Raw genomic sequence first — 8613 nt, 5'->3', positions numbered from 1 at the left:
CTCGATTATTTTGACTTCATTCTGCTGCTGAGAGATTGATTTTAAAGAAATAAAACTAACAGACTGAGTTTCCTCCTCTGTTCCCTGTGAGGATTAACTTGGGTGGCGGCAGGACACTTGCTAGTCTATGTCAGTGTTACGCTCCGAGTAGCCTCTCACAACCCTGAAAATAAATATTTTAAAACAAAAAAAAAAACCTAGACAATAAATTGGGACGTTTCCAGCATCTTTCTTCTGTAAAAATACTACAATCTCTAGATGTTAACGCAACAAAAGAAATCCGTAACTTTAAGGCCTCTCATAACTGCCCTCTTTTCCCCTCCCTCCTCTCCTCTCTAAAACAGGTTATGTCTGCAGGCTTCTTCAAACTCCACCACACCATTTTCTCAGGAAAAATCCCTGCACTGTAGGTGGGTCAACAAAATCAAGCTAGAGGTTCTCTTTACACATATTGATGGCTTATTTCTATCAGTAAAAGGATATTTCCTTCCCTCCTTCCTTTCTTCCACAAACATCTGGGCACTGTGCTAAATACAAGGGGTGCAACTGTGAACAAGTGAGACAGAGTTCTCATTCTAGGTTTGGTGAGAGATTTAGATAAGTAAATGGGAAATTACAGTGTTAGATGCAATGCAATGATCAAAAAAATGTAAGGTTGGAGGGTCTGGAGGCTTCTGAGTAAATGATATTTAAGCTGAGACACGAAGGGTAACTGTGTGCCAGGTGAAGAGTTGGGATGGGGGAAAATAATGGGTAAAGTCAAAGGAACAATGCCTGGCACCTATCTGCTGGTATCGCCTCTTAGGATTCCAAACTATTCTCCCTTAACTTCCCCATTGAGCCTCACAGATTTCAAAGGCTATAATTCTCAGCAGGGTTGATTTTTTTTTCCCCCTTACCTGTAAGGAGTCCTGGGGCTTCATGCACTCACACTTCAAAAGATGCTTTTTCTGATGCTTAGGGTAAACGGAAACACTGCAAATTGCTGTTTGAAGACACTTGCTTCATTTAATTTCAGTGCTTGGGATTAAAATAAAAATTTTAAATGTCACATTTCACTCCCCTTCCAAAACACACCACAGGTTAGCCTATTCTTTAACCATTCATTGTTGGATTCCGGCATGTCTAGCATGGTGCAATGAATTATTAAAGGGATCTACATAATACAACTTCGTATCACATCTTCAAGGCTATGTGAAAGAAATTTACATTTTTTTCTCTTTTGGGAGAAGCATATGAAACCTGCTCACTCAGAAGACAATCACTTATTTTTAAATGTTTTTTTTTTTTAAAGGAGGTTCTAGGGTTACTTACAGTAACTTTGATCAATGTCTATTTCTATTGCACTGTCAGAAAATTTAATTGCCAATACTGCATAAGCATTTTGTGCTAGATTTAACTTTTTTCTCATTCATTTATCCACCAAATATTTACAGAGCACCTTTATTGTATTGTCCTGGGACTGAATGCAATAATTCATTGTTCCAAGAACAAAGCTCTGTACACAGTGATTTATAAATATTAAACTAGAAAATACAAGAATATGCTAATCTCTAAATCTTCAAGTTTATAATATCTAATAAAGTATAATTCAAAAACAAGATTTTTCTAAGAAATAAAGAAAAAGCAAGAGGTGATATTCCAGGTGTTTTTTTAAAGATGCTACGTAAGTCCTATTTCTGGATATTAACGTGGAGTACAACTCAACACTTTGTGGAAAAGTATAAAAAGCTTTAAAAAATCATCCTTTAAATAAAATTCAATTAATCTAACCCAGTAGGTATTTTTATATTGACTAACAACTTTCTTGAGCCTTAGTTTCCTCATCTGTAAAAAAGGGAGTTCATTCATTTATTAACAAATAGTTACTGAACGCCTACCAAGTGCCAGGGACTGGTTTGGGCTTTGGGAGCAGTGGTAAACAAAACAGATGTAATTCTTACCTTCCTGGTGCTTACATTCTAATGATAATACCCATCTCATGGAACTGTTGGAAAAATTGCATGTTATGTAATTACAAGTATTTTGTGACTTGCAAAGTGCTATATAAACCCAAGGTTCTTGAATATGATTGTCTTATTCCTCTATCTCCCAGAATAAAAATCAGTAGGTATTAATAAATGATGGTTTGAGTAGATACTAGAGTTTTAACACTGCCACATTTCACTACTAGAAGTCAACAGTCATACACAACTCTAATTCATTCTATTCTATTTGTTCATTCCAATATAATTTGTGAAATAATTTACCTAAAGTAATTTAAGAAAATATTAAATAAATGTATCATATGAAACCCTAAAAGACTACCCACAAGAGGTTAAATATAATAGATAACATTTATTGAGCCCATATACCATGTAACAAGTACTGTGCTATTCCTGGCCGAATGCAGAAGAAATATTACATAATAATGTTTTATCACTGCAGTCTCTCAAGACAAACCACTTCATCACATGTACTAATTTTAAGATAAGTCATTGTCTACAATGTTTTTAATGACTGTTACTTTATGGCTATACCAATATTAATATTCTATAATTAACATCCTTATAACTAAATCTTTGCATGTATTATTTCCTCAAGTCTTACTGTGTTTTTCTACAAGAACAAAACAGTGTTAAGAAAACAGCTTAAATTTAATAAAATGTGTGCCTTTATATTTTCAGACTTACTGGCACATTTTAAATATTTTCCCGGGCCGGGCACAGTGGCTCACGCCTGTAATCCTAGCACTTTGGGAGGCCAAGATGGGTGGATTGCTTGAGCTCAGGAGTTCGAGACCAGCCTGGGCAACATGGTGAAACCTCGTCTCTACTAAAATACAAAAAATTAGCTGGGCGTGATGGCACACGCATGTAATCCCAGCTACTAGGGAGGCTGAGACAGGAGAATCACTTGAACCTGGAAGGCAGAGGTTGCAGTGGGCCGAGATCGTGTCATTGCACTCCAGCCTGGGTGACAGAGCGAGACTCCGTCTCAATAAATAAATAAATAAATATTTTCCCAATGTTACCCAAAATTTCATAAAATGAATTTTAGGTTATAAAATTTTACATTCACAAAGGGTTAGGAAAATACAATTAAAATTTTGTCTACGTTGTTTTTGTTTCCTTTTTTGGAAATGTCACAGGAAATATATATGGAATTAACTGCTTTTTATAATTGCTCTGGTCATGAATATAGGAAAAAGATGAGTATGCAAGAATATACTAACTGTATCAAAGTGTGAAATTAAAACAGGATTACAGGAATTGAAAATTGGAAATTCCTGATATCAGTCATCTTTGGTGAACACAATGCTTGTATGACCTATAGAATTCTACCTTGATAACCAACAAATTATCTCTATTATTTCAAACATTATTAAATGTGAGTCTGGTCTTTCTGGAAAAACATCCAGCATATACAGCAACTTGAGGAACAAATACTGTTGATTAATGACAAGGCCTTATAATCTCCTGGGTGCAGTGAAATAAATTCCACAAATATAAAGAAAGCATTTTAAACAGCACTCTTCTCAAATTATGAATTCTTCCTATATGCAATTTCCAACATGAATTAAGTGATCAGACTGTATTCAGAATACACCAAAAAAGCAAACTGAGACCTTGGTATATATGTTTAAATTTTAATACTCAAGAAAACAAACCTAAGTTAAAATTGGATACAAATACTGCTGGCATAAGAAAATATACACAAATTTGGATTCAAATGGGGTTATTATGTGAACCTGGATGTAAGACTACATCCTAACAACCTGTTGTTGAAGCCTTTTAATAAAGTAACAGATTTTAAATCAGATAGATATAAAAAGACTGAAGAAAAACAGTAACTTTTCCTTAAGTTCTCTTATCCATAAAGAATGACAAACTCCATATGGACAGTAAAGTTAGAGGTCATCCAATTTACCAAGGCATTTTGAACACATAAACCTTAAATACCTACTTTAAGCCCAAACAAGGTAAAAATAATCGGCATTTCATTGTGCTCCGAAGTTTAATTTTACATATCATGTTAACAAATTATAGAAAATAAAATAAAAGCATTTTCCATTTTTTTGAAAGTACACATCATTACTTCTCCCAGGTACTTCAGTAATTTAAGCTTAATACTCGTTTTATTAAACATTAAACACAAAAAAGAATTTACAAAATCTTGCACTGTTATTAAGAAGAGATGGAAAGTTCTCCCAACTTCAGCAATGTTAAGAGCTGTTTTTAAATTGTGAAAATGAATAGAAACACTAGCTCTTTAGGAGAATTTCAAAATACATCTGAAGAAACTAATTGTCTTTCGGATATTGTTTATTCAAACAAAACTTTTCGCTGGGTGTGATGGCTCATGCCTGTAATCCCAGCGCTTTGGGAGGCTGAGGCAGGTGGATCACCTGAGGTCAGGAGTTTGAGATCAGCCTGGCCGACATGGTGAAACCCCCATCTCTACTGAAAATACAAAAAAATTAGCTGGGCCTGGTGGTGGATGCCTGTAATCCCAACCACTCAGGAGGCTGAGGCAGCAGAATCACTTGAACCCAGGAGGCAGAGGTTGCAATGAGCTGAGATTGTGCCACTGCACTCCAGTCTGGGCAACAAGAGTGAAACTCCGTCTCAAAAAAGGAAAAAAACAAAACAAAACAAAACAACATTAAAAAAACACTTTTATTTTGGAAGGGTAAGCTATATATAAATAAAAATTCATTCAACATGAATGTAATTGGAGAAATTCCCTACTGCTGAAAAATAGTAATGTATAAACTGACTTCCAATTATTCAAATAAACCTTTTTCTTTTCTTTTTCTTTTTTTTTTTTTTTGAGACAGAGTCTCACTCTGTTGCCCAGGCTGGAGTGCAGTGGCGCAATCTTGGCTCACTGCAACCTCTGCCTCCCGGGTTCAAGCGATCCTCCTGCCTCAGCCTCCTGAGTAGCTGAGATTATAGGCATGTGCCACCATGCCCGGCTAATTTTGTATTTTTAGTAGAGAAGAGGTTTCACCATGTTGGTCAGGCTGATTTCGAACTCCTGACTTCGTGATCTGCCCAACTTGGCTTCCCAAAATGCTGGGATTGCCTGGCCTCAAATAAACAATTCTTTGGCTAATTCTGGAATTTGTGTCAGATGCCTGTGGGATACTTTTATTCCTGATCACATTTAACACAAAACTTAGTGTTTATATACTGTAAACAACATAAATTACATATTGTAAAATCTACTAGGATTCATAAATTGCCTACAATTCCATTTACTTTTTGCTTTCTTTTAAGTTCTAAAAGTTACTGATAAAGAAGTGTTACTTGGTTTTATAAGGGAATACTTGATGATAAAATTCTTCCTGTCTGAAAAGATGCACTAAATATTTCTGATCACTAAAAAGTAAAGCTTCTATCACCTCTTGAACATTGACTTCACTTTCCAAAGATGTATATATCATCTCTCTCAATGCCCAAGTCAATAGTCGAGTTAAACCAAGTATTTGGTGACTGTCTCTTTAAAGAAGAGAAGCATCACTTCTTCCAAAAACTAGCTTGCACACATCTTTGATTTTATCTGTACTCTTCAGGCAAAAGGTCATTTATCTTCATAGAAAGTTTTCTTGCTTTGTAATCTATAGAACACTAGTCGCCAGCTTAAAATGCTTATTCTATGATTGTACATTTGTGTAAACTATTATTTTTTTCTTCAGAAAACACATTTTAGTTTAAAACAGAGAAACACAAACCTGAATACTGAATAACCTAAGATAATTGGCAATACTGTGAAGTTTTAAAAGCACTCTTAAAACTTCTCAAAGTTCATTAATAATTTTTAAAGTCACCATCCCTTAAAAATAAATTATTTACAAGTATCACCTTAGGTTGATGGAGTTTATGCAGTCATTACATGATCAGGATATGCTTGAGAGACTGTGCCTACAGTGCAGAAAACCTTGAACATATCCTGTCTACTTGCCATTGGAAAACTGAAGGCAGCATAACTTTATTAAAGAAAAGTAACCTAATTGGAAGAAATTAATTAAAATTGGTATTGTGCTATCTAGAGAAAAATAATTTCATGATAGAATTTTTACATAGCATAACTCTAAAATTATTTTAACATCATCTTAATTTTAAAGTTGTTAAAACATAATTCTGATGTTTCACATTATTTTAATGTAAAATGTCAGGTCTGCACTCACAGGAAATTACATTATAAAAAATTATTTTTAATATGCTAAAAGCTACTAAATCAGCTTCCCCTGTCACATTGCACAACATGTGAAACATAAGGTGTCTACGTTTTTATAGATAATATAAAAAATTGTTTACAAAATTTGTTTATATTTCAGTAAGTTAATTTGTTGGATTTTTTTTAACCAAAAATATTGGTGACAAAATATTACCAATGTAAATATAAGCCACATGAAACAATCAGTTCCTTCCAATTTGGAAAGCTTAAAAAAATAAATAATAAGAATTCTACCTAACACAGAATAATGCCAAGCTAGTCAGCAGCAGCCATGACTTAGCACTGTTGGATCAGGCAATCCTGATCAGAAAATTAAATTAGGTGCCTTTTGTAGGACAAGTGCCAAACTGTTGCTTTTTTTTTTTTAACCAAAATGCAATTAACTAATAGTAAGAGCACCACCGTTGATATTAGCAGGTATATGAACTCCATATTTAATACATATTCAAAAATAGAGCAACTATTGTTAAAATTCTTGTAGTGTTAAATAACTTTTACATTTCCTGCAAAAGGCAGATGTTAACAAAGATGCTATAGACTGAAAATCATATACATGTCTATTATTAATAAAAACCTTGCAGTGATTTTACAACTGTTTGCTTCAGAAGGGCTCTTTCCAGTGAATTCAGATATGTGAATTCTGATGAACCCTTTCCTCATCCCAGCCTCCATCCTCACTATCCTTAGTGTCTGCACCTATTTAGACAGACACAAATAGGAGAAACTTTTAAGATGTGAAGCTAACACATTCATTCTTCCTTTTCTCTTTTTTTATAATGAGTATGTATTTATTTTCTAGGTTTCTTACTTCCAGTCATGACAAAATAATGGTCATCATCTTCCTTTTTCTTTGCAGTAGGTTTTTTATCTCCACTATCTGCATCCTTAACAGATGAGGGTGGTTTCCTGATTGAAGCTGGGGTTTTGCCACTTCTGGGAGGCCCTTTAGTTGAATGCTGGCTCTTAGCGACAGTCTGTGCTGACTTCGGTGCAGTTTGTGTTTTGGTAGAAGACTGGGGTAGGCTCACGATGGACAGTGGGGTACGGCCAGGAGACTTCAAGGAGCTGGGTCCTGTCTTCTGAAATGCACTTTTATTCTGAGGCTGCTTTTTGGTAGCTGAAACTATATTCTTATCTTTTGATTTCTGTGTGGCTTTTACAGGAGAAACTGAGGACACAGAAACTGGCTGATTTAAATTCAAGGCCGATTTAAGTTTCTGTGCTGGGACTGGCTTTGCTTGTGGGGCTCCATCGGATGGTTGAGACTGTGTTCCTAGACCCGTGGCTATGGTTTTGGAACTGGTTTTTGTCATTTTTGCAGAGGACTGGAAAGAAGGTTTAGGTCTTACAGGTATATTTGCTTTAGGCAGCTTGGGACATTTTGAGGATGAATTTGAATGTGCAGCTAAGTGAGATACTGCATTATCTCTGGAAGAAATATGATTATGTTTCAAATACTTAGGTTGAGTTTTTCCTGAACACTTATTTGGCAAAAGTGTGGACTCGGGCAGATCTGCTGAATTCTGGGCTGGAATAACCTTGGCCTTGGGGGTATTGGGGGATGAAATACATTTTCTCGGTGACTCAGATATACAAGGTGCAGTTCTTGGTAAAGCTGGTGAAGAAGTGTTTTTACCTACTGGATTTAATGAAGCAAGTGAAGATGATGCATTGTTTGAAGGAGCCTGCGGTTTCTTCGTTATGCCTTTTGAAGACTTGAGCTTGGGATGAGAAGATGCTGCTGGAGAATTTGGCAATTTAGAACGGACTGACATAGAGCCCAGATTACCTCCTTTCAGTGAAGATGCTGGCACCAATGCACCTGGTGGACGTCCCTGTTTTTCTTTGCTTTTTGGAATACTAACTGGCACGCTGGGTTTTGAATTTTGTTTCTGAAACATGTTAACTGCTGACAAAGGATTCATTTCAGGAGGCTGAGGTGTTCTGGCAGGCGAATCAGGTACACTTTCATTAGAAACTCCTTTTTGAAATGCTAAAATTTTTTGTTCTAATGTGGCAAACTGTAATATTCGACAGGGGTCATATTTAAGCAAAAATCCTTGAAGAGTATCCCAGCCTCCACCAACGCGAACCATGACATGTTTTCCATGAAGCATCTGCCCCCAAAGGAAAACAAAAAGTAAAGCTGTAATACTGTGAGGTTTATAGTTACAATTCATTAGCAGTTACAATATGTGATGTCTGTGATCTATAAAATTCAGAGCATTTGCCAACAGCCTCACTACAAATTGACAGTTTGTTTCTTGTATTATTAATATAATAAATTTAACTCACATTGAATTATGCAACTAATGATACAAAATCTTCCAATTTGTAAGGAAGGTATTTACATATAACTTGCATCCTAAAAATAAGACATCCTGGCTCTGC

At 35.4% G+C, this 8613-nt stretch overlaps 1 protein-coding gene across 15 annotated transcripts in view; it reads right to left on the bottom strand.

The window, feature by feature from the left end:
• Nucleotides 1-3612: 3612 nt before the first annotated feature.
• The window catches only part of GAS2L3 (growth arrest specific 2 like 3), a 54605-nt gene continuing 49604 nt past the window's right edge, over nucleotides 3613-8613 (bottom strand). For all 15 annotated transcript variants that reach the window (XM_047428730.1, XM_047428734.1, XM_047428733.1 and 12 more), the window contains one exon: nucleotides 3613-8339. In XM_047428730.1, coding sequence (XP_047284686.1) covers nucleotides 7011-8339 — 1329 coding nt within the window. In that variant the 3' untranslated portion in view covers nucleotides 3613-7010. The remainder of the gene's footprint in view (nucleotides 8340-8613) is intronic.

The sequence above is a fragment of the Homo sapiens genome, chromosome 12 (genome assembly GCF_000001405.40).
Source record: "Homo sapiens chromosome 12, GRCh38.p14 Primary Assembly".
In the NCBI taxonomy this organism is placed as follows: Eukaryota; Metazoa; Chordata; class Mammalia; order Primates; family Hominidae; genus Homo; species Homo sapiens.
The sequence above is the reverse complement of the archived record's forward strand: the minus strand, read 5'-3'. Positions and strand labels throughout refer to the sequence as shown.